At 43.6% G+C, this 25,902-nt stretch overlaps 1 protein-coding gene across 2 annotated transcripts in view, besides 2 other annotated features; it reads right to left on the bottom strand.

Moving 5' to 3' along the window:
* Nucleotides 1–4,018: 4,018 nt before the first annotated feature.
* Nucleotides 4,019–25,902, bottom strand: part of FAF2 (Fas associated factor family member 2) — a 61,690-nt gene continuing 39,806 nt past the window's right edge. For both annotated transcript variants that reach the window (NM_014613.3, XM_011534475.4), the window contains 8 exons: nt 25,066–25,142; nt 21,761–21,899; nt 20,009–20,094; nt 19,818–19,909; nt 17,430–17,607; nt 15,008–15,179; nt 13,947–14,090; nt 4,019–7,325 (listed from right to left, as the gene is read on the bottom strand). In NM_014613.3, coding sequence (NP_055428.1) covers nt 7,143–7,325; nt 13,947–14,090; nt 15,008–15,179; nt 17,430–17,607; nt 19,818–19,909; nt 20,009–20,094; nt 21,761–21,899; nt 25,066–25,142 — 1,071 coding nt within the window. In that variant the 3' untranslated portion in view covers nt 4,019–7,142. The remainder of the gene's footprint in view (nt 7,326–13,946; nt 14,091–15,007; nt 15,180–17,429; nt 17,608–19,817; nt 19,910–20,008; nt 20,095–21,760; nt 21,900–25,065; nt 25,143–25,902) is intronic.
* Nucleotides 5,818–6,018: a silencer, noted in NCBI's record as "peak5588 fragment used in MPRA reporter construct". NCBI's record gives its function as "represses an SCP1 promoter by STARR-seq MPRAs in K562 erythroleukemia cells {active_cell/tissue: K562}" and the evidence as "EXISTENCE:reporter gene assay evidence [ECO:0000049][PMID:32103011]".
* Nucleotides 20,927–22,126: an enhancer, noted in NCBI's record as "CDK7 strongly-dependent group 2 enhancer chr5:175918968-175920167 (GRCh37/hg19 assembly coordinates)". NCBI's record gives its function as "activates an origin of replication core promoter dependent on BRD2, BRD4, P300/CBP, MED14 and CDK7 cofactors, with strong dependence on CDK7, by STARR-seq in HCT116 cells {active_cell/tissue: HCT116}" and the evidence as "EXISTENCE:reporter gene assay evidence [ECO:0000049][PMID:35650434]".

The raw sequence follows: 25,902 nt of genomic DNA, 5'->3' as shown, positions 1-25,902 counted from the left end.
GGGCTGGAGAGAGAAAGAAAGGCTGTGTTCGGAGGGATTGGTGCTGAGGTCTCGAGGGCGAAGCAGTTCCAAGTGAGGCATGGCCCCGCTGGGAGAGGGCTGCGAGGAAAGCAAGCTAACACTGACTAAGCAGCCCAGTGCCCGATGCCAGGCACTCCAGTCATCAGCTCACTTAAACAGCATCCCAACTTTACAAGGATGTGCTACTGTAATATTTATGGGTGAGCAAACAGGTTCCGAGGTCAACAAATATCATTGTCAGCAAGCAGCGGAACAATTTCAAATCTAGATTTGACTCTGAAGTCTGCACCACACTTTAACACAACTTAAATCAGAAACAGTAGAGCCGGAATTTCAGGGAATCCATGTATGCAGATGTGGGAGTCATCTAGGTTGCCAGTGGAGGTAAAAATACCTGTTGTTTTGAGTAAGACTTTCAATAAACATAAAAATAAAAAAGGAAAAAAAATCAGTTGCCAACTTCTAGAGAATGGCTAGTAGCAAGCAGAACAGGACAAAGTAGTCCAAGCAGATGGCATGCTCTTCAGCACCGTCCTTCAAGACCACGCACCAAAGTGGCAGAAAAGAAATACAGATCCTGGCCGGGCATGGTGGCTCACGCCTGTAATCCCAGCACTTTGGGAGGCCGAGGCGGGTGGATCACGAGGTCAAGAGATTGAGACCATCCTGGCCAACATGATGAAACCCCATCTCTGCTAAAAATACAAAAATTAGCTGAGCGTGGTGGTACGCGCCTGTAGTCCCAGCTACTCGGGAGGCTGAGGCAGGAGAATCGCTTGAACCCGGGAGGCGGAGCTTGCAGTGAGGCGAGATCATGCCACTGCCCTCAGGCCTGGGCGACAAAGTGAGACTCCATCTCAAAAAAAAAAAGGAAAGAAATACAGATCCTGCCTCCTGGTGTCAAGATTCATGGGAAAATGAGTGGCCTTTGCTTAAGGGTTTTTTGAAATGGCATCTTCAAGGGAAAACCAGGTTTTAGTTAAAGGGGAAGAAACCTGGGAGTTTTGGGGCATCATTCTGTTAGTGAAGACAGACAGGCAGGGGAGGGCAGAAGGAAGACTGGGAGGGGCTCAGCAGTGCAGTGGCCGAGCTCACAGGCATGAGGGACCCTGGGGGCCCGAGGCTCCCTCAGGATAAAAGTGCACATGGAGCTCTGCCTGCCACGCCAGAGAGACGTGTGAAGAAAAAAATGCCAGGCACTCAGTCACGTCTAGGGTAAATCTTCAGTAGTAAGCTACAACTGTTTTGTAAGCAGCAACAGGAGGTATTCCAAACACCTACTACGTGCCAGGCGTTCTGCAACAGCAATTCATTTCAACTTCACAGCAATGCCACAATCAACCCTATTTTACAGATGAGATGTAGGTCTAGGGAGTTGAAGCCAGTCACTTGGCCACAGTCATGGCCAGAGCCAGGATTTAAACCCAAATGTTGGCCGGGCGCGGTGGCTCACACCTGTAATCCCAGCATTTTGGGAGGCCGAGGCAGGCAGATCACTTGAGGTCAGAGGTTCGAAACCAGCTTAGCCAACATGGTGAAACTCCATCTCTACTAAAAATACAAAAATTGGCTGGGCATGGTGGTACATGCCTGTAATCCCAGCTACTTGGGAGGATAAGGCAGGAGAATTGCTTGAACCCGGGAGGTGAAGGTTGCAGTAAGCCGAGATCGCACCACTGCACTCCAGCCTGGGCAGCAGAGCAAAGACTCCATCTCAAAAAAAAAAAAAAAAAAAAAAAAAAAAAAAAAAAAAAGTGTAATCTGGCCTTGGAGTTTTGAGTCCTCTGATTCTGTTCATTGATAGCAAAACTTTGTGGGTTTTTTTTGAGATAGAGTTTCACTCTTGTTGCTCAGGCTGGAGTGCAATGGCGCAATCTTGGCTCACTGCAACCTCTGCCTCCTGGGTTCAAGCGATTCTCCTGCCTCAGCCTCCCAAGTAGCTAGGATTACAGGCATGCACCACCATGCCTGGCTAAAACTTTTATACTCAAGTTTCTTTTCTTTTTTTGAGACAGAGTCTCACTCTGTCGCCCAGGCTGGAGTGCAGTGCGAGATCTCAGCTCACTGCAACCTCCGTCTCCTGGGTTCAAGCAATTGCCTCCTGAGTAGCTGGGACTACAGGCATGTGCCACCATGCCCGGGTAATTTTTTTATTTTTTAGTAGAGACGGGGTTTCACCATGTTGGCTAGGCTGGTCTCTAACTCCTGACCTCAGGTGATCTGCCCACCTCAGCCTCCCAAAGTGCTAGGATTACAGGCATTAACCACCATGCCCAGCTTATATTTAAGTTTCAAAATCAATTGTGAAATGTTTTTAGTGGCTTCTCAGCTTAAACTCTTGCACACTTTATTAAACTGAGCAATAGAGTTCTAGTTTACACTTAATGCACATTAAAAAAATCAGGGCCCCAAATCTTTGGCTAGTAACACGGGGACAACTCTGAAGGTACCAAGAATCTGTACCCACAAAACTGAGTATCTGCACAGGACAAAGGCAGAAAACTGAGGCTTATATTTCCTCTCAGAAATGAAAACATGAGGCCGGGTGCGGTGGCTCATGCCTGTAATCCCAGCACTTTGGGAGGCTGAGGCGGGCGGATCACGAGGTCAGCCTGGCCAACATGGTGAAACCCCATCTCTACTAAAAATACCAAAATTAGCTAGGCATGGTAGAATCGCTTGAAACTGGGAGGCAGAGGTTGCAGTGAGCTGAGACCACACCACTGCACTCCAGCCTGGGCAACAGAGCAAGACTGTATCAAAAAAAAAAAAAAAAAGGCTGGGCACTGTGGCTTACACCTGTAATCCCAGCACGTTGGGAGGCCGAGGCAGGAGGATCACGAGGTCAGGAGATCGAGACCATCCTGGCTAACACGGTGAAACCCCGTCTCTACTAAAAATACAAAAAATTAGCTGGGCGTGGTGGTGGGCGCCTGTAGTCCCAGCTACTCGGGAGGCTGACGCAGGAGAATGGCCTGAACCTGGGAGGCGGAGCTTGCAGTGAGCAGAGATCACACCACTGCACTCCAGTCTGGGCAACAGAGTGCGACTCTATCTCAAAAAAATTAAAATAAAATAAAAATTAAAATAAAAACATGAGGCCGGACGTGGTGGCTCACACCTGTAATCCCAGCACTTTGGGAGGCCGAGGCAGGCGGATCACGAGGTCAGGAGATCAAGACCATCCTGGCTAACACGGTGAAACCGCGCCTCTACCAAAAATACAAAAAATTAGCCGGGCGCGGTGGCGGTCGCCTGTGGTCCCAGCTATTCAGGAGGCTGAGGCAGGAGAATGGCGTGAACCTGGGAGGCAGAGCTTGCAGTGAGCTGAGATCCCGCCACTGCACTCCAGCCTGGGGCGACAGAGGGAGACTCTGTCTCAAAAAAATAAATAAAAATAAATTTAAAAAAAGAATAAAAACATGAGCAAAAATACCTAGGAGAATGCCAACCATCCAGAATCTGTAAATCAGAAGAGGCTTTTTCTAGACACTCCTTTGCAAGGACACAAGTTGGTTCCAACAAAAGTGACAAATTCCTTAAGAAAATGTTATTCCAAGAAAATATTCTTACAAAATACACTCCCATAGAAGGGGAACAAACACTTAATGACATCTACATATCAGGAGCCTCATATACATTTACTTGATTGAATCTATAAACCTATCCTGAGGTGGACGGCATTATCTTCATTTATAGCTGGGGAAATTCAAGTTCAGGGAAGCTAGAGAATTTGCCCGAGGTTGCAAACCTGACAAACTAGAGAGCCCAAATTTGAACCCAGGCCTGTCTGCTCTCTCTCTCCATCATACTAAGTTGCTATTTTTCCACAGGGATACAACAGAGAAGACCTAACTCCATCCTTCTCTTTGACTCTCCCTTCCTTCTTGGCAATGCCATGCCATGCTGTTCCCTCCCGGTGTTTTTCAACCTCTCCTTCACACATAGAAAATTATCTACCACATCGGTCCCACACAGAAAGATCCACAGCCTGTTATGAAGTTTTTGCTATAAAACATTTAATGTTAACCTACAATACAATGTAAACTTTTATGAAAAAAATTTAAAGTACACTAGATTTCTTCAGTAAATTATCACATGACTATTCAGGCGCAGTACAAGTTGGGGCACTGCATCCTTTGTGGATGGATTTCCGTTGCTGTGTTCCTCACAAGTCCTAAAAAAACCAGTTGTAGAGCGGAGCTCCTTGTTCAAGCACCGGATAATGATGCCCCTGATTTTGCATTCTGGGGGTTATCGCTCCTTCTCAGTCATTTTCTGAAACTCTTTGCTTGGCCTTGGCACCATTAGCAATTTTCACAACTGCTCAATTGAAGGTTCTAGGTTCTTTTTAGCTTAGTTTTTAAGAGACAAGTGTTATCCTCTGGCCATCTCTTATTCAAATATCATGGTGGAGGCAAGCAAGGAGAAAGAAGTATTTGCTAGAGGAAATTCTGCAGAAGTGGAAGAAAAGACCAGAAGGGCTCCACTGAGGGTACAAATATTCAACTGACTCCAATCGAGTGTCTTTGCTTGGTCACTTCCCATGGTTATTCAGCTCAATCTACAACTTCAGTCGTGGGAGTGCAGAACAAAACTTGAAACAAGTGCTTTTAGTTGATGATTTGCCATTTGGAAACAACAGCTGAAATATCCCAGAGGTGATGTGGAAACAAGAGCAAATGCTTGCAGATCACTGGCTTCTCAGTGTCTTCTCCCTCGCAGGTCTCATCAAAATCCCAAAAGTCCTTAGGAGTAACACAGATTGTACTGGCATTAAGTGACAAAATGTGCAGCCTGTATTTGACTGAGGAGGAAAGGAAATGGCACCTAGGCAGCAGCGCTAGGGTCAGCAAGGAGACCGGCCTAGGGTCTCAGTAAAGCAGAACTGTTTCAAATGGGACTAGACCGGGGCATGTGCTTCCGGTGAATCCTCTTGAAACCTAAAGTAAATGGGAAGGCCGCCCTAACAGTTGTACTGACATAAAGGGAGACCCTTCTTAATATTCTGGCAGCTGACTTCCTTCACTGAACAACTATTATCAAAAGGCGAGAGGCATAAAGTGCACACTGTAGAATAAGAAGAGACTGAATTATGATGGAAAAAAAAAATCGTAACTTCCCCAAAGAGGTGTGGACAGTGTACCTAGCCTCACAAAGGTCCTTAATACCCTCCTGTGTGCTGCCAGGGAACAGCTGTGAATTCCAGATGGGGAGGAAGGCTCTGACTTAAGTGGAAAAATTCCTCTGCATGGTTGTCAGCAGGAAGGTTTCACGTAAGGTTATCCTTATGTGGAGAACATGGGTTATCCTGCTGTTCACGCCAGATACATTTTATTGACAGCAGTCAGATGGTGATTCCACTCATCTGGCCTTGGGACAGCAGAAAACGAAGTGGAAGAACAATAGCTGGCCAGGGACAGAATTAAATTTTCCTAGAGATGGTGTTCTAGACAGCTATGCCAAGGCCACTGGGAATTTCTCAGGCTCTCCAAGTTAATTTCTGTGGGGTGCCTTACTCTGCCATGTGGGATTTACCCCAACAACTGAGGACTGCAGTGGATAGTAACCATATAATTGCTACCAAAAACAGTGGTCCTTAGGTTTTAGTTAAGCAAGAGAGAAAGCCTTGAGACTACAACTCCAGCAAGTTAGGCTTTATGTTGATCTGAACCCCCCGCCCTCACAGCATTCTAGGAACTACAGTAACGTCAGTCGGTTGCAGTGGTACAACGAGCCTGCACCAGTCTAGCTACAGAACACTTTGGAATACTTGTCAGAGCGCACTGGCATCTGTTAATACATGGCCTGACCCATGTACCCATTACCATAAACTCAACCACAGACGAGACATCCAGAGGTTAAAAAAAACCCTATTACTTCAACATAGCAATAGAGAGAAAGGATAAAAGCTGCCTCCAGAAGGTGGCTGCATCAGAAATGAAAATGTGCCTTCCAATAGATTACACAGGCTGGGAGTTCTGTCTTGGCTCCCTTCAAGGCCTCTGGTTCTATCCTTAAAACAATAATACACTTCCACTGAGACAGGCAGGGCACTCTCCTGTGGTTCTGCTGGCTCCACCACAGGCCCTGCTAGTCCTTTGGAAAGGCACCAGGCTTGGCAATTCAGGAAAGCCCAGGGCTGGGGGGAGCAGCATGCACATGTCAGAAGAGGAATGAAGAGCTGCTATCCTTTGGTTCAGACCCCATAACCACCACCTGGTACAGACTCCAAGGAAAAGCTGCAGTTGTGTGTAAAGGTGAGTTCCACCACATACATAGGTGTATCTTTACATATACAGCCTTTGTGGGGCCACAAACCCAGATTTCCTCCCACTGCTCCAAGTGGGGTGCACAGGTGGTAAGAAAGGACAGCAAGAGTTGGACCAAAAAGAATGACCTCTCTGGGAACGTGAGAGGGACAATGGCAGAAATAAGCACAAACCAGCCCGGGGCACTTTTATTACACTATTGTGGGCTAAGGAGCCCAGGGCATAAACTCATGGGTTTAAAGAATTGGCTCTTTATCAAATAAAGGAAAAAAATATATATATATACCTATGTCAGCCTCATTCCTTTGGTCATTACAAAACAGAAATAAAAGTTATTGAAAACTTGTGGGCAGTTCAAGGAACATCTCTGCTTCTCTGCTCTGTGCTTTCTCTTCCCTCTCTTCCCCAGAGGCAGGAGAAGCAAGTCCTCAGGAGATGCTGCAAGTAGCTGGTTGATGGAGGTTTTTCACTTTTATTTTTCATAAAAGCAAGAATGAATGAGAACTAGTGGGAATGTCCCCTTCCCAGCTGGGACAATGGATGGGTCGAAGGTGAAGAGTCTCTGTTCACTGGAAGGTGCGTGCACAGAGGCCACAGGAAGGGTGGGCTTGCCAAGCGGGTACGTTTGTTGCTAACCTTGCGCGCACACACAGGTTGTGACTCTTACGGGCAGCATGGTTTCTGATCCTTCCTAAGGATGCAGCAGTCTTTTAAAAAAAATATTGTATTATAATAATAATAATAATATGAATTTCTCTCTCTTGTTTTTTTTTTCTGACTTGCTGTTGTTTTCTTTTTTCCCCATTTCTTTTAGGGACTGGGGTAGGAGGGGACAGGAAGAAAAAAATGTCATTCGTCAGTTAGGTCCTGAACAAAAAGAACTTCTGTGTGGCTGAGTCCGGCCTCCTGTAGCGTAGGGGGATTGGGCCACTCCTCTGAAGGGATGCAGGGCAGCACTCGCCTGGGAAAATTGGCTTCAATCTGAAACTTTTCTGGGCTTTCCTTCAAGGAGAATAAGAAGTCGTGGATTACCTGCAGAGGTCATATAGAAAAAGAAGGGTGGTGAGAAAAACAGAAATACACACACACACACGCACACACGCACACACAACTCTGAAGTCAAATATACCCCAACTCTCCCCAGGATGACTCTATAGGAAAGAATCACATTACACTGGAATTCTAATCTTTTCATTTCCCATGGCATATACATGGGGCAGCCCTTTTAAAAGAAATTACACAAGCCCAACACTAGTCCTACTCTGAATTAATCTGTCTCTTCTTTGAGGTGTCTGATAAAATGCTAACTTAGAAATAATCACAAAGTTACAGAAAAGTTGGAAGTATAGGACACTTAATTTTTTTCTTTAACTCAGTTGAGAGTGAAGTGCTAACTGTAAGACACATGGCCTCAAGTATTCTGAGGTGATCACGGACTAATAGGACAATCTTCTATATAACCACAACTTGGCTCTCAAAATCAGGAAATGTAACTGACACATTATTTCTATAACATATTATTATTCAGGCCCTATTCAAGTTTTGCCAATTATCTTTTATATAATAGCAAAGGGATCCAGTTTTTTTTTTTTGTTTTTTTTTTTTTTGAGAGAGTCTCGCTCTGTTGCCCAGGCTGAATGGAGTGCAATGGCGCCATCTCAGCTCACCACAAGCTCCGCCTCCCAGGTTCACGCTATTCTCCTGCCTCAGCCTCCTGAGTAGCTGGGAGTGCAAGCGCCCGCCACCACGCCTGGCTAATTTTTTCGTATTTTTAGCAGAGATGGGGTTTCACCGTGTTAGCCAGGATGGTCTCGATCTTCTGACCTTGTGATCCTCCCGTCTCGGCCTCCCAAAGTGCTGGGATTACAGGCGTAAAGTGCTGAGATTACAGGCGTGAGCCACCGTGCCCAGCCAAGGATCCAGTTTTAAGCCCATCAATCAACGTGTGGATAAAGAAACTGTGATATATATATATGATGGAATACTTCTCAGCCATAAAAAGGAATGAATTAATGGCATTCACAGCGACCTTGATGAGAGTGGAGACTATTATTCTAAGCGAAGTAAGTAGAAATGGAAAATCAAACATTATATGTCCTCACTGATATGTGGGAGCTAAGCTATGAGGACGCAAAGGCAAAAGAATGATACAATGGACTTTGGGGACTTGTGTGGAAGAGTGGGAAGGGGTGAGGGATAAAAGACTACAAATAGGGTATAGTGTATACTGCTCGGGTGATGGGTGCACCAAAATCTCACAAATCACCACTAAAGAACTGACTCATGTAACCAAACACCACCTGTTCCCCAATAACCTATGGACAAAAAAATACAATACAATAAATGTGTTGCACCTCATATGAATCTCCTGTCTGTGGGAATGCCCTCCTTACCCTGCTCTGGCTCTGACAAGGCACAGTTAAAATCCTTAGTGAGAAGGGAGGCAGTATTAGGAGAGTCCAGGATGCTAAAACTTAAACTGTGTGTGAGATGCCTGTGGAACAGGCCACTGTCATCTCTCCCTGTCCCTGCTCTGTGGCCTCTCCATCTAGCATTCTACTTCTAACAACAATTCTGCCAACCTCATTCAGATCAACCCCAAAGATGACGAACATACCATTCAAGTTATTTTTCCTTTTTGGGAGGAATCTATTCCATTTTCTTTTTGATACATCTCTCAAAATGATGAATTCTCTGGGTTTTATACCCCTCTGTGTAAAGCAGTCCTTCATTTCTTAAACTTACTGCTCTAGGGAACTTTTTTTTTTTTTTTTTTCCCAGACAGGTCTTGCTCTGTCGCCCAGGCTGGAGTGCAGTGGTGCAAACACGACTCACTGCAGCCTCGACCTCCCAGGTTCAAGCAATCCTCCTGCCTCAGCCTCCCAAGTAAGTGGGATAACACATGTCCAACACCATGCCTGGTTAACTTTTAAAATTTTTTGTAGAGACAGAGCCTTGCCATGTTGCCCTCTTCAGGGATTTTTAAAGGGCTATAATCCAGAATTTAAATAGTAAATCCATGTTCCTCTTGTCTAATCCATTCATGATTTTATAAACTTCTCATATTTTAGTCTATCAACCTAACTCGTTTTCAGTTTCCTTCTCTCTTTGCAATTCCCATTAATGTTCACTCTTTCTTAACATGCATCAATTAGACTTACACCAAGTATTCTTGGTATGAAACCAATATGAGTGAAAAAAATACCTTTTTTTTTTGAGATGGAGTCTTGCTCTGTTGCCCAGGTTGGAGTGCAGTGGCAGGATCTCGGCTCACTGCAACTTCTGCCTCCTGGGCTCAAGCGATTTTCCTGCCTCAGCCTCCCAAGCAGCAGTGACTACAGGCGCGCACCACCATGCCCAGCTAATTTTTGTGTTTTTTGTAGAGATGGGGTTTCACCATGTTGGCCAGGCTGGTCTCGAACTCCTGACTTCGTGATCTACCCACCTTGGCCTCCCAAAGTAGGCTGGGACTATGGGCGTGAGCCACCAAGCCCGGCCAGAGACAGGGTTTCATTAGGCTGGTCTCGAACTCCTGACCTCAGGTGACCCACCCGTCTCGGCCTCCCAAAGTCCTGGGATTAGAGGCGTGAACCACCATGCCTGGCCAAAAAAATACTTTCTGATTTCTTTTTAATCTCTGCTTGAGAATACCTAACACTTGTACAAACTTGGCTTTTGTTTTTCTTTTTTTTTGAGATGGAGTCTCACTCTGTCGCCCAGGCTGGAGTACAGTGGCACGATCTCGGCTTACTGTAACCTCCGCCTCCCAGGTTCAAGCCATTCTGTATTTTTGTATTTTCAGTAGAGACTGGATTTCACCATGTTGGCCAGGCTGGTCTCGAACTCCTGGCCTTAAGTGATCCGCCTGCCTTGGCATCCCAAAGTGCTGGTATTACAGGCATGAGCCACCGCACTCGGCCGGCATTTTTTATTACTAATGGCAAAGGGTTGATAACCATCAGGAAACAGATTACATTACTACTAGAGGTCCCTTTTGGTTTGCAATGGACAGAAAAATTAGTTCTGGGCTTTATCTCTTATACATTTGTTTAAAACAAAGTCAGCTGCCTCTTTTATGACCACTCATGGGACCTGGAGATTTTTCTGCAGCGTACCCCTTTTATCTTAGCATTGCACCACTTTCCAGAGCTGAGCATTACCTACAAATCTGTCACTCCTGGAGATTATTTACAAAGGACCAAGTTCACAGGAAGGTGATACAAGGTCTTTTTTTTTTTTTTTTTGAGACAGAATTTTGCTTTTTTCACTCAGGCTGGAGTGCAATAGCACGATCTCCATTCACTGCAACCTCCGCCTCCCAGGTTCAAGCGATTCTGCAGCCTCAGCCTCCTGAGTAGCTGGGATTACAGGCCCACGCCATCATGCCTGGCTAATTTTTGTATTTTTAGTAGAGATGGGGTTTCACCATGTTGGCCAGGCTGCTCTCAAACTCCTGACCCCTGGTGATCCGCCCACCTCAGCCTCCCAAAGTGCTGGGATTACAGGCATGAGCCACTGCACCCGGCCGACACAAGGTCTTTAAGGGTACTAAAAAACACTACAGCATTATTTGGTTTTATGTAATTATCTCTGTGAATGTTAAATTCCAGGCCAGCACCACCAGGGCACTGCTACATTACACACTTCTTTCCATCTCTAAGACCCATTTATGACCAAGCATTTCTCTTAGACTAATCTCATGTGGCCATGATACTCTTTTTTATTTTTATTTATTTTATTCATTTTTTTTTTGAGACACAGCCTCGCTCTGTCGCCCAGGCTGGAGTGCAATGGCGCAGTCTCGGTCCACTGCAACCACTGCCTCCCGGGTTCAAGCAATTCTCCTGCCTCAGCCTCCCGAGTAGCTGGGACTACTGGCACTCGCCACCACACCCAGCTAATTTTTGTACTTTTAGTAAAGACGGCGTTTCACCATATTGGCCAGGCTGGTTTGGAACTCCTGACCTTGTGATCCGCCTGCCTCGGCCCCCCAAAGTGCTGGGATTACAGGCATGAGCCACCACGCCCAGCCGATACTCTTTTTTAAAAAACAGCTTTTAGTGAGGAACCCATTTAAAAGTCTTCAAGGATCAAATAGTTAATGAATGGTTGGTTCCCTTTTGGCCACAAGCCTATTCTGTTCCACAGTTCTAACAGATTTTTCCTCCAAAACTCTCAGGAGAGTAAATTTTTGTTAGGTTTTTCATTCTTTTTTTTTTGAGCCAGAGTTTCACACTTGTTGCCCAGGCTGGAGTGCAATGGCATGATCTCGGCTCACCGCAACCTCTGCCTCCTGGGCTCAAGCGTTTCTCCTGCCTCAGCCTCCCAAGTCGCTGAGATTACAGGCACATGCCACCACACCCAGCTAATTTTGTATTTTTAGTAGAGACAGGGTTTCTCCATTTTGGTCAGGCTGGTCTTGAACTCCCGACCTCAGGTGATCCGCCTGCCTCGGCCTCCCAAAGTGCTGGGATTATAGGCGTGAGCCACAACGCCTGGCCTAGGTTTTTCATATATAGTTTTATCTATCAGAATTTTTAGGGTAGAAATTCCATGTAATTCGTGTGTACAATAGCAAAATTGCTAGTGAACATGAAAGCTAAAATACATACACAAACCCATAGTTAAGAAATGGGACACCAGGGGAAGGAAATTAACGCTAATAACCACCTACTACATGGTGGATACTGTGTGAGGCGCATCCACATTATCTCAATTTAAAAATCCAAAGTTAGAGACATGGGGCCAGGTGCAGTGGCTCACGCCTATAATCCCAACACTTTGGGAGGCCGAGGTGGGTGGATCACTTGAGGTTAGGAGTTCGAGACCGGCCTGACCAACATGGTGAAACCCCATCTCTACTAAAAAAAATACAAAAATTAGCCAGGCATGGTGGCGGCTTCCTGTAATCTCAGCTACTCGGGAGGCTGAGGCAGGAGAATTGCTTGAACCCAGGAGGCAGAGGTTGCAGCGAGCTGCGACAGTGCCACTGCAATCCAGCTAGGGTGACAAGGCGAAACTCTGTCTCAAAACAAACAAAGTTAGAGACATAAGCACTTCCCCCAATATAAATAAATGCATAAATGAGAGAGAAATAAAACAAGGAAGCTATTTGCTTCTCTCTTAACAAAATGTTTCATAACTTTAATTCTGTATTAGTTCTCTGAGTCTTACATTCTGTACTGGCCAATAAGCTCCATGAATTCCAAAACCATGTCTCACTCATCTAAATGATCCCTAGAGTATCTGGCTCACTGCATGACATACCTATGTTCAGTTTAAACTTATCAGAGGGCAGATTACAGTTCTAGTTCACTAATGGGAAATCTGAGGCCCTGTAGAATTTTGCAACTTGCCCAATGTTGTCCAGTTAAACAGGCAGAAGCAATGAATGTACTAACCAGCCTCACCTGACTACAGTGCATCCTCTTTTAATTATGAGGTTTACCCTTGATTATTCTGAGCGATCAGGGAAACTGCAGAATCCACTATAGCTATAAATTTGCAAAGGCAACATACTGACTCTCAGTTTAAATAAATTTTCTTTTGGTTACAAATACCAAAAATAGTAGTTAGTATTTAAGCACTTACTAGGAGCCAGGCACAATGTTAAGAATTTAATTCTAACAACAATCCTACTAGGGAGTGCCTATTATTATTATTATTTATTTTTTTTTTTTACAGGGTCTCTGTTGCCCGGGCTGGAGTGCAGTGCTGCAATCTTGGCTCACTGCTACCTCCGTCTCCCGGGTTCAAGTGATTCTCCTGCCTCAGCCTCCCGAGTAGCTGGGATTACAGGCACGTGCCACCACGCCCAGCTAATTTTTGTATTTTTAGTAGAGACGAGGTTTCACCATGTTGGCCAGGCTGGTCTCAAACTCCTGACCTCAAATGATCCACCTACCTCGGCCTCTCAAAGTGCTGGGATTACAGGCATGAGCACGGGGCCCAGCCGTGCTTATTATTAAACCCATTTTACAGATGAAGAAATTGAGGCTTAGAAATTAAATAAACTGACTAAGGAAACACATCTAGTAACCCTGGAAGAATGAAAATTTGATCCTCATGCTGTGAGGCTCTTGAGTTTCTGCTTTTAATGACTTCCATGTGGAAATGACAAACACTATCACATGGCTATCATATACATAAAGTAGCCTCAGAAAATGGGGCTTCCTTTGGGCTGAGTAGAAAGAGAGAGACAACTGCATCCAAACTGCAAGTGCACTTATATTCAGATATGTCACTTCAGTGCTTTTAGGTCACTGGAGACAGAGCTTTTCCTACAGAGCAGGGGTTCTGGTGGGATTCTGAAGCCAATGCAGGAAGACAGCATGGAAGAGCCTCCCATCTTCAAACACACAAGTCTTTTGAGGGACTTATGTAAGGTACCTTTTTTTCTTAGCAGAGCCGAAACATAATTAAACAAAAACTTAAAAATTGCTTTGAGTTGGAAACTAGAACTGAAGGAGCCTACAGCAGTCCTCGGTACTCTTCCTGGTGTCCACGGATGGCATACCCATCTCTCTCTCTCTCTCTCTGTTCCCTGTTCATCAGAGCAGCAGATACACCAACACCACTCTCAAGAGTCAGTAAAAGCTCCAAATCTATAGCCCAGATGCTACATACACTTCACAGAACTTAGGTGGTCCTTACTGTTAGAGACTGTGAAAAGTGGAATCGTCTCTCTACTCGAGAATCATTAGGTAATTTGAAGATGATCTTGACACTTTCAGGGTCATCAGGGGAAGGTTCAGGGGGCAGGCATTCCAACTTCCTTTCCTTTTCCTCCTGTAAATTCTGCAGAGACACAAAGCAAAGGTGAGGCTACAGCTCAAGAAATAAATACAATGACCATGTAGCTTTATTACGCAGTCGTCAGAAGAAAAATTAATGACTAAGTATTCTAAGAAAAACCTCTCAGGAATAGTCAAAAACAACCTAAATTTAAAGTACAATTGCATCTCATGTATTCTTTATTATGTCTAGGTATTTATTTGAGAAAAAGGAGAAAGGGAGCAGGGTGCCATGGTATGTGCCTGTAGTTCCAGCTACTTCAGAGGCCACAGCAGGACTTCTTAAGCCCAAGAGTTTCAGGGTGTAGTGCTCCATGATTGCACTGGTGAATAGCCACTGCACGCCAGCCTGGGCAACACAGTGAGACCCTGTCTCTTAAAAAAAAAAAAGAAATAAAAGGAAATGACTAAAAGACACTGGTTATAGGTAAGCGGTAATACATAATCAAATAAGATAATGTATATCTCAGTCTGATTGCTAGGGAACAAAAACAACAACAAAACAAAACAAAACAAAAACAAAAAGATAATGAGTAAAATGCCAAATCAGCTAATACTGGTATTAAGAATGAATATTTAGGGCCAGGCATGGTGGCTCACGCCTGTAATCCCAACACTTTGGAAGGCCAAGACAGGCAGATCATGTGAGGTCAGGAGTTCGAGAGCAGCCTGGCCAATATGGCAAAGCCCGTCTCTTTTTTTAAATTTTTATTTAAAAAAGAATGAATATTTAAATGGTATGAAAAATTTAAATCACCCCTAATTCCAACATGTTGTAATTTTTTCTTTCCTTTTTCCTTTTTTTTTTTCCCTCTTAGTCTGTTTAAGGTGGCTATCATTTTTTCCTTTCACACTTAAGACCAAGATGGCAAAGTCTCGGCAGTTTGGGAACCACAGGGAGTAAAGCCACACGTCCATTACCTGCCGCCGTCTCTCCTCTGCCAACTTTTGCTGTTGCACCTCCTCCTCCTTCCGCCGCTTACGCTCCCGCTCCTCCCGTTTCTTTCTTTCTTTCTCCTGGTCAGCTCTGAGAGAGGCCAGGTAGGCCTCATCCTGCTGTTGTCTCAGCACTTGGGTCTGGTTTCTTTCTTCCCTGTGAATAGATCAAAAGCAAGAGAAGAAAAACAGCACTCTCACAAAGTTCTGTGTTTTCTTATATTGAAATCTTCTGTGTGTGTGTGTGTGTAAAAATGTTGATATTCTTAGCAGATGACGATTTCACACTGCCATAAGGGATTCCAAAAGCAGAGCGTGGCAGAATCTGAATAAGCCACCTTTTTTCTCAGTTTAATTTGGCAGAAAAGGAAACAGCAAGCTTTCCTCTCCTCTTTTAAAATAAAACTTTTCCCCTAATTCTAACAAATGTGACACAGTACTGTTATTATGAAGGGATCATCAATATCATATTTTACAAGTAAATACCATTTTGGGTGACTGCATTTTTGTACTGATCTCATAAAACCAAAACACACACATATATATCCATACACACATTGTAGCAGATCTGAAAATGTAGAGTTTTCAGAGTCATTCAGAGAATCACTAATCAAAGATAAAACATTATAACATTTGGCATATCTCCTATTTTCTCTCCAACAAATTTCTGTTTTCTCTTAGCCAAAATATTTAGCCAATCAAAATAGTTGAACAGATTTTATCTTTAAAAATTAAGATAAAATTTACATGCAGTGAAATGCACAGATCTTAAATGTACAATTCAATGAATTTTGATAAATGTAACCATGTAATCACCACTCCAATCAAGACAGAACATTTCAGTTACCTCGGAAAGTTTCCTGTTCTATACATTTTTTTACACAGTTAAAATAACGCTATTATTTACAGGATTTTGATCTTGCATTTTTCTTTTTTTTTGGAGACAGGGCTAGCCTGTCACCCAGGCTAGAGTGCAGTGGTGCGATCATGACTCACTGCAGCCTCAACCTCCTAGGCTAAAGCAATCCTGCCACCTCAGCTTACAGGCGTGTGCCACCACGCCTAGCTAATTTTTGTATTTTTTGTAGAGATGGGGTTTCACCATGTTGCCCGGGCTGACCTCAAACTCCTGAGTTCAAGCAATCTTCTTACCTCAGCCTCCCGAAATGCTCGGATTACAGGTATGAGCCAACATGCTCGGCCTGATTCTGCATTTTTCTAATATGTAACAAGCATGTCCCCATGTTATTAAAAACTTTCCATAAAATTTAAGTTTGTTTAACTTTCTTGAGGGCAAGTTGGCATTACAAATCAAGAGCCTTAAAATATACTTATATTGATTGTCTCACCCAGAAACTGCACTTCCAGGAATTTAAATTTTAATCTAAGGAAACCATCACAAATTGCAAAAAATTATCTCCCTATATGCTAATTATAATAGTAACAAACCGAAAATAATCTAAAAATCCAACGAGAGTGGCCTGGTTAAATTATGATGTATTTAGATAATGGAATGTTATGCAGTAATTTTTAAAATGTGGCAGAATATTTAATGATGAGGGAAAAGGCCGTGATATATTCTTACATAAAGAAGGGTTGTAAAAAAGTATTATCCCAATTTTACAAATAAATGTGTACGTATATAGGGGTGTGTGTTGTGTATAAAATTAAAAAAATTTATAACAATGTTCAAGTGGTGGTAGGTTTATCAGTGATCTTAAATTTCTTCCTTGTGCTTTTTTGTGGTTTTAGGATTTCCTATAATTAATGTACATAACTTATGTAATGGAGAGGAATTATAACCATTCCACTTTTTTTTTTACATCGAAGTTCTTTATATTATATTCAGCTATTCTAAATGCCACAATATACATTCTTGAGCACAGAGGCCTGTCTTTGTTTATTCATTCATTTATTATTTTTTAAAGACAGAGTCCTGCTCTGTCATCCAGGCTGGAGTGCAGAGGCACAATCAGAGCTCACTGCTGCCTCGAACTCCTGGCCTCAAGCAATCCTCCTGCCTCGGGCTCCCAAGGACCTGGGACTACAGGCATGTACCACCATGCCTAGCTAATTTTTTCTTATTTTTTGTAGAGATGGGGTCTCGCTTTGCTGCCCAGTCTGGATTCAAGTAATCCTCCTGCCTCAGCCTCCTAACGTGCTAGGATTTCAGGTGTTAGCCACTGCACCCAGCCCTTGTCTTTATTTTGAACATCTCTAAGAACAGATTACCTGATATAGAGTAATTTAGGTCAAAGTATGTAAATATTTTGACAATAAATGGGCAAAGCTAAAAGCTAATAGCGGCCTGATGCACAGAAGAAGTCAGGATTGGTAGAGCCCCAGAGGTCAGCCCTCCAAATTTACAACTGGTCTCTCTCTGTTCCAGAAGGGAACTCCCTTGTACCTTTCTAGGCGTTCTGACACCAGGTAAGTCTGGTTAGCATCCATGATAAATGTCAGTTGGTTAATGAGGTCATCAGGTTGAATGAGGCCTTCTAGCCGTCCCACCACAGTCATCCTTCGATCCTTCAGCATAATCATGGCCAGGAATGGATAGGTGTTCTCTCGTAAAGCCTGTGAGACTGATAAAAAGACCCAACAGATCAAGGGCAGGACTTGACGGTGAAAAAGATCAACCCTTAGACTTTCCACAATGAGTGAGAGAGAACTGTTTTAATCCTGGTTGGGGAAGACGAGAGGTATCATTTAGTCTCCGCTTTTTCCCCGCCTCCTAGTTTCTTTCTTTTCTTTTTTTGAGCCAGGGTCTCACTATGTTGCTCAGGCTGGTCTCCAGCTCCTGGGCTCAAGTGACCCTCCCACCTCAGCCTCCTGAGAAGCAGGGATTACAGGAGTGTGCCACCATGCCCAGTTCCTCCCAGTTTTGTAATCTTTTGTTTTTGTTATCAATTTGCATGCCTATCCCTAGGTGCTTGACTAGAATAGGACAGGCTTTCCTGGTGGCGGTGTGGTTGTTGTGATGATGCCAGGGAAGGCTGCAGAGTTTAAGGATAATGTCTACTTGATGGTACAAAAAGGATCTATAAAGAATCTGGCACAGTTTTTCCCTGTACAAGGGCTCAAACCTAAAAGGGCACAAGGCTGCAAGTCTCAGCCTGATGATACTGATAATAATCTCCATCATCATTTTTTTTTCTCTTGCCTAATCCTTTCCTTATCCTTTCTCCCCACGTAACTTTTCTCCACCCTTAAAAAGGTTAGTTTTTCTGTTCCAAAGAAGCTTATTAATAGAAAGTTGAGGCTGGGCTGGTAGCTCCACCTTTAATCCTAGCACTTTTGGGAGGCGGAGGTGGTTGGATCACTTGAGGTCAGGGGTTTGAGACCAGCCTGGCCAACATAATGAAACCCCATCTCTACAAAAAATACAAAAATTAGCAGGGTGTGGTGGTACGCGCCTGTAATTCCAGATAGGCGAGAGGCTGAGGCAGGAGAATCGCTTGAACCCGGGAGGTGGAGGCTGCAGTGAACTGAGATCGCACCACTGCACTCCAACCTGGGTGACAGAGTAAAACTTGGTCTCAAAAAAAAAAAAAAAAAAATTGGTGTCCAAATGACCAAGATTTTTACCATAACAGAGTTTTACCTATGTTTTCCTTATGGTGTGAAATAAGAGATTTTATAAACTTCTATTAAAAAAAAATCCTTACCTTCCTTCTATTCACAACCTCCCTTCTGCCCCCTGCAAAGCCATATTAGAATGGCAAAACGCATGCAGGAATTTGGATGTTTAAAAACAATTAGGCTTAAGATTCAGACTCTGGGATGCAGGGACAACATCTGCCACATCTTTGGTTCTCAAGACATGGCACAGTATGTGGCATGCTAATATAAACTCAAAAGTTGCTGGATAGAAGTAGCCACAAAAATGACTACATTTTTCCTCACTGGATGCCTTCGTATCTTTTACTAACCGTCTAAAAATACTTATCTCCAAAGAAGAGTTATTGTCAGCAAAGATCTGAACTTTCCAAATCCATATCAGCACTCAAGGTACTCAAACAACTGACTCACTATGCAAGGGCTCTGTTAAAATCGTTGATGAAAAGAATAAACTCTTCAGTAAAAAGCCCATTAAGATTAAAAGCAAGCTGCTAGCCAAGACTGGGTATTTCTATGAATGTGGCAGGCTTTGGCAATGCTGAATGTGAAGAACGGGCTTTAGAATCTGGCAGACCCGACTGTACGCTACAACTTGCTAATTATGGCGGGGCACAGTGGCTCACACCTGTAATCCCAGCACTTTGGGAGGCTGAGGTGGGCTGCTCACTTGAGTCCAGGAGTTTGAGGCTACATGGTGAAACCCCATCTCTACTAAAAATACAAAAAAATTAGCTGGGCGTGGTGGTGCATGCCTGTAGTTCCAGCTACTCAGGAGGCTGAGGCAGGACAATCGCTTGAACCCAGGAGGTGGAGGTTGCAGTGAGCCAAGATCGCACCACTGCACTCCAGCCTGGGCGACAGAGCAAGACTCCATCTCAAAAAAATTTTTTTAATTAATTAAATAAAAACAAAAAAAATAAAACTTGCTAATTGTGTGATCTTCAGCCAGTGGCTTGAACTCTCTGAGCCTATTTCCTAAACCATAAAGCAAAGGTAATATGACCCCCCATCTCTCAGGACTGCTGAGAGGATTAAATGAGACAATATAAAATAGCAACTAGCGTCGTATCTACCACAGAACAAACACACTTGTAATAAATGGCATGGCATGTCTTTCCAGACTATTCCAAAGATACTCCAACAATCTCAATGAGGCAGAAGAAACATAACTTACCCCTGTATCCCTCAGGTTTGTTTGTAGAGCATGCCCAGAAGAGCATCCTAGTGTTTATTAGTGAAATAACTTCAGGTGCACAGAGTGTGTTGCTGTGGAAAGGTATGAAAAGGATATGAGAACAACTTGCTGACTATAAACTGTCACCAGAAAGAGTCAGAAAAGAGAAGGAAAATAATCAATCCACTTACCGACAAAACTCATCAGAGTCCTGGTGATCATCTCCATGAAGATAAACCAAAAGAAAGCGAAGCTCCCTTTTGGCATCGTTAAGTGCCTGTGAGAAAGAGAAGGTCACTCACTATTAAGAAGACTGTGCCTTGAGCTTATATTTAAGCTAAGGGTCCTAATGGATACAGTTATGTATTTAGGAACAAAAGGAAAAATAAGGAAAAAAGGTGAGCAAGAAATCAGAAAATTCCTGAGCTCCTACCTTCACACCCCTGGCATTGTTCTCCCTATAGAAACTCCACGCTAACAAGCTTTAATGAAAAGGTTTTAGTGTTGTTAGGATTCAAACTTAACAGACACATGAGAGTAGACAGGCTTACAAACACAGGTTCCCAACAAACCACAGAAAAGTCAGCTGCACCCACAGTCTAAGGAAGATAAAAACAGGAGAATCTGACCATATGAAAGGGAGGTGAGAATTTTTCTACTTCACAGCTACAACATCCTTGTAAGTAAAAAATAACTGCGAAGACAACCCTGATCCCAGGCCACATATCGAGTAGGAATGATGGACTGTACGATCCAAAGGCATTCTAAAGAGCATAGGGTGTAAAAGACTTTCAAAGACAAGGCTAGCGCCGAAGACTCCTGTGCGTGCTCCTGCATGTGCGTGCTCCTGAGCACATTACACTGTACGACTGCTGACATGGTCAAGGGTGGTCTACCCTCAGGATCATAGCAGAGAGGGTACACAGGAGGTGCTCATCTCACTCATCTCTGTATCTCTAGCACTGAGGACATTGCCTGGCATACAGTAGGTGCTCAGTTTTTGTTGAGTGTGGTGGGAACAGCCAGCGAGGAGACTGACTATGATAAAAAGCAGATGTGGGAAAATGAAAGCAGGAAGCAAGGGTGAGCATTTTTCTTTCTCCAGATAGATTCAGGAATTCTGGAGGCTGCATAATAGAACCCCCTTTTGCCTATTGCCACAGCATTCCCATAGTTTTCCCTATTCCTGTAGTGTTAATTCTATGTATTTCTCTGGCAAACTAGAGATATACCAAACACCCACAGAACTCTAATTTTTCCTCCCCTGAATGGTGAGGTCTTGAGTCAAAGGTCTACATGGCTGAGGTTGAATGAGATGTGCTACCCTGAGTCTATGGTCTATGTCCTTATTCAATTCTGTGAGAGATCAAAGAAGATGTAGGCTTTGCCTTCAAGGGGCTTTCAGTCTGGTAGCAGAGATTAGACACGAACACAAATGATATAGGAAAGAATATAAAATTGCTATCAATTTTTAAAAGCTATGGAAGAACAAAGGGAAAGATTAGTATTCTAGATGATGAGATAGGGCAGGACAGGGCACAACAATCAGGGATAGCTGTAAGTGGGGCGTGACATAATCTAGTTGAAGGACTGGCAAGATTCCAATTAGCAAAAATGTGAGGAAGGCATTCCACGTGGATGGACCGGCAAAAGCAAAGGCACAGAGGTAGGCAAGTACAGACTATGTTCAGGGAATGAGTCAGCTGGAACTGAGGGTATGGTAAAATAAGTTATGCAGAAAAGACCTCAAAAGAAGGGCAGCATTAGATCAAAGAGGGGCCAGCTAAAAGGTTTGGTCTTTTTTATTACCCACCCCTATAAGCAGTGAAGAGCTAATTAAGGTTTTTGAGTACAAGAAGGACATGATCAGTGCTGGGCTGTGCTCTCCTTTGAGGATAGAATCATTTCGGTAAGTTGGCATCTATATGGTTTATGGCACTGACCTGGCTGTACGTTCCCTGGTAGAAGACAGGGTGTGCCCTCCCATATTTCTCTTCAAAAGAGTGCATAAATGAAACAATGTCCCCAACGGGGTCAGTGACCCGGCTGCGAGGGTCAGGCCGTATAAAACGAAGAGCAAACCTGGGGAGGAAGGAATAAATATCACATGAATCCAGCTTACTACAGTGCATATCGAGTGGGCCAATTTGTACAGATTCCTGTAACAGAGCCAGAGGCACGGCAACAAAGGGAGGTGAACAGTCTGTGAGTGGACCATCAAATCCGAGAGTAGAGTCTGGTTCAAAAGCCATAAAGCAGCAAGTGTTATTCTATTGCCTGTTCAGGAAGAATGCAAACTACTGGGATTATAAATTCCAACACTGGCCTACATAAATCCTGAGTATTTTTTGTAGAACAATTTAGGGCTAGAAGGGTTTGGAAGGGAAGACACAGTATCCAAAAAGATCATGTGTCAGGCTATGCACCCAGACTCTCTAGAATGGCACCGTCTAAGTACTGTAGCCACTAGTCAAATGTGGCTATTCTGAATTTAAATCTATTACATACAATTAAAATTCAGTTCCTTAGTAATGCTAGCCACATTTCAAGTGCTCAACAGCCACGTGTTTAATGGCTTTCATACTGAACAGCGGAGATACAGAACGTTTCTATCATCACAGAGAGTTCTACTGGACAGTGCTCTAGAACAGAGGTCATTTTCTGGTTGTCCTACTTGCCCCTCCTTCTCCTTTCTGTTTTCCTGGGATTTTAAATATTGAGTTCACAACCCCAAACTATTCAACTTACGGATAGGAACTTCAAATCTGAAGTTGCGGTTATGACTTACTTGCTCTTCAAAGGGGCAAGTACCTTTTGCTTGATGATTTATGGTTGATGGCAACCATGGAGGAAGTTATAAAACTGCTCCACAGTACCCTGGCAGATGTGGAGTACTGGCAGCTCTTGTAAAGTGAAGAATACATACCTAATGGTACCACACATCTGTTTCTAAAGGGCCTACCCTATTTGTATAGTACCATTTATTTATCCTTTGGGTTTCCAGAGAAGGCAACAGGACAGAGGATAATGTGTTACCTAACATTAAACAAGCTGGTTGGATGATACAGCTGCATTAAAATTAGTAATACATGCCGTGCATATTTTCCCTAGAAAAGCAAACAATATTCATTTACTTAAAACGTTTTCAGCACAGACAAGGTGATTAAACTGTGATACTTTTCCTTAACAAAAAGTGAGTCAATTCATTATCCCAACAAATTCCCCCTGTGTATACAATTCTACTTGGAATTTCTCCCGAGTAATCAAACCAAATTCATTGACAACAACGTTCCAGAGCGAATTAAAAGCACAAAATGTAGTAAGTTGTATACGTGGGGGAATGGTTAGAAATTCATCAGAAGACTGATGTTTTAACTACTTTCTTTGAAATTAAGCATTTTAGAATTCTCTCTTAAAGCCTTTATTTTTTTTTCCTCATTACACAATATTCCCACGATCTACACAATTTAGGACAATCAGCTTTTTTGATTTTTTAGAAAAAAACAGAGATGTCAACTTAGTTTTCATTATGATTTTAAAGATTTTTACATGTTCATTCTTAAATAAAATGGGGATGGAAAGAGTACTAAGCAATTAGTGATCATGAAGAATGTTGCTAAACCAAGAAAGCCATTAAGTAGACAGCCTCATAAAACACCAAGGGTCCAATATAAAAGGTACTATCTGACCCTTGTACTTATGCAGCTGCTGGACCCACAACTTCAGCCTCTGCTCCCTAGAGGCAGGGTAAAGGCTGTCCCATATTTGAAGGGAAGTACAGGGAACCTGTACTTCCAGGGAAGGCCCAGACTACATATCCCAGCTCCATCTGCTGGCCTGGATGCCCTTGAACATTTAAGTTCCCCATAAAGCCTAGACATGGCTCTGGACCAGATAACCCAAGCCTGACATGCTAAGAAGTTGTGCCCCACTCATTTTCTTTTCTTTTTCTTTTTTTTTTTTTTGAGACGGAGTCCCACTCTCTCACCCAGGCTGGAGTGCAGTGGTGCGATCTAGGCTCACTGCAAGCTCCGCCTCCCGGGTTCACGCCATTCTCCTGCCTCAGCCTCCTGAGTAGTTGGGACTACAGGCACCAGCCACCGCGCCCGGCTAATTTTTTGTATTTTTAGTAGAGACAGGGTTTCACCGTATTAGCCAGGATGGTCTTGATCTCCTGACGTTGTGATCCGCCCACCTCAGCCTCCCAAAGTGCTGGGATTACAGGCGTGAGCCACAGAGCCCGGCCAGTTGAGCCCCACTCATTTTCTGGCCTTGGACCCTCTGTAGCTTCCAATGATGAGCTCTTTTAATGGTACATGAAGGAAGCTAGAAGAAAGGTGAAGGTATGAAGCAAGTGGGTATATACATAAAAGGGTTCCAGTGTTTGCAACCTAGGGGCTGCCAGAGCAAAGTGAAAAGGTACCGAAGCTGCCAGGCATGGTGGCTCATGCCAGCAATCCCAGCACTTCGGGAGGCCAAGGCAGGTGGATCACTTGAGGCCGGGAGCTCAAGATCAGCCTGGCCAACAAAATGAGACTCCATCTCTACTGTCTCTACTAAAAATACAAAAATTAGCCAGGCGTGGTGGCGCATGCTTGTAATCCCAGCTATCTGGGAGGCTGAGGTATGAGAATCGCTTGAACCCAGGAGGTGAAGGTTGCAGTGAGTCGAGATGGTGGCACTGCACTCTAGCCTGGGTGACAGCGACAGAGCAAGACTCTGTTTCAAAAAAAGAAAGAAAAAGAAAGAAAAGGTGTAACAGGAGTGTCTAGGGAGGTCCAACTATTGTGGGAGGAATCAAGGGCAAACTGGGTAATCTCAGAGCAAGAGAATTTGTTGGGATTGTGAGTAGTCAGGTGGAGGAGAAGTAGTTGAGGAAGAAAGTTCTAAGGAGTGTGAAGCTAGGAGATGATAGTGGTTAGAAAGGAAAGGGTGTGGACATCAACTAGGAAGTGTAGAGGTGACAAATATGGTGGGGGGGGGAGGGGGAGACAAATAAATATAGTCAGACTGGTTTTTGCAAACAAAAGGTAAGACTAATTTAAAAACAATTCCATTTCACAATGCCTGCCAATGCTTCAACAATTTAAAATACTTGTATGTTGTATTAAAAGACAGTTCGGGAAGTGTATTCCATCTCATGACAAATTGGTAAGTCAACATTGATAGAGCATAAAGCTTATTTTGGCCTAAATTTCAGCTCCAAAGTCTTACTATTCTACTAATACATAAATCCAAAGGTACATACCTAAATATATCAAGTATCGTGTAATAGGTAAACCGGAATGGAAGCATTATCAAGTAATAACCCCATCCAAGCAGCCCCTGAAAGTCCAAAAACAAAGTTAGAGACAATTCTCTCAATCCCTAATATTTTATCAAATGGCTAGGTCAGATTTTCTCACTCTTTTTGGTCCTTCCATGTGATTTGTTCCTCTAAAGTACAGTTCCTTCTTCCTGGCCACCTCATCCTTCTAAGTGCCACCATCTTTGGTCTTATTTCATCTTACTATCATTTTTTTTTGCAGAATTTTTGTATTAAATCTGCTTTAAGGTCCAGAGCTGTATCTCCTGCCTGTAATCCCAGCACTTTGGGAGGCTGAGTGGGGCAGATCACCTGAGGTCAGGAGTTTGAGACCAGCCTGGCCAACACGGTGAAATCCCATCTCTACTAAAAATACAAAAATTAGCCAGGCATGGTGGCATGCACCTGTAGTCCCAGCTACTCAGGGAGGCTGAGGCAGGAAAATTGCTTAAACCCAGGAGGCGGAGGTTGCAGTGAGCTGAGATCGCGCCACTGAACTCCAGCCTGGGGGCAGAGCAAGATTCTGTCTCAAAAAAACAAACAAACAAATAAAAACCAAAACTGCCTTAATACTTATTTTTGGCAGCTACTTATAGACTTGTCAAATTCAATTGCAAATTAATGTTCCCCAAATGATACACACTCATTCTTTCCTTTTTAGATTTACACATCAAAATATGGTATACAGAAATAAGCCAGGCTTGGTGGCTCACGCCTGTAATCCCAACACTTTGGGAGGCTGAGGCGGATGGATCACCTGGGGTCAGGAGTTCGAGACCA

This window comes from Homo sapiens, chromosome 5 (assembly GCF_000001405.40).
Source record: "Homo sapiens chromosome 5, GRCh38.p14 Primary Assembly".
Classification (NCBI taxonomy): domain Eukaryota; kingdom Metazoa; phylum Chordata; class Mammalia; order Primates; family Hominidae; genus Homo; species Homo sapiens.
The sequence above is the reverse complement of the archived record's forward strand: the minus strand, read 5'-3'. Positions and strand labels throughout refer to the sequence as shown.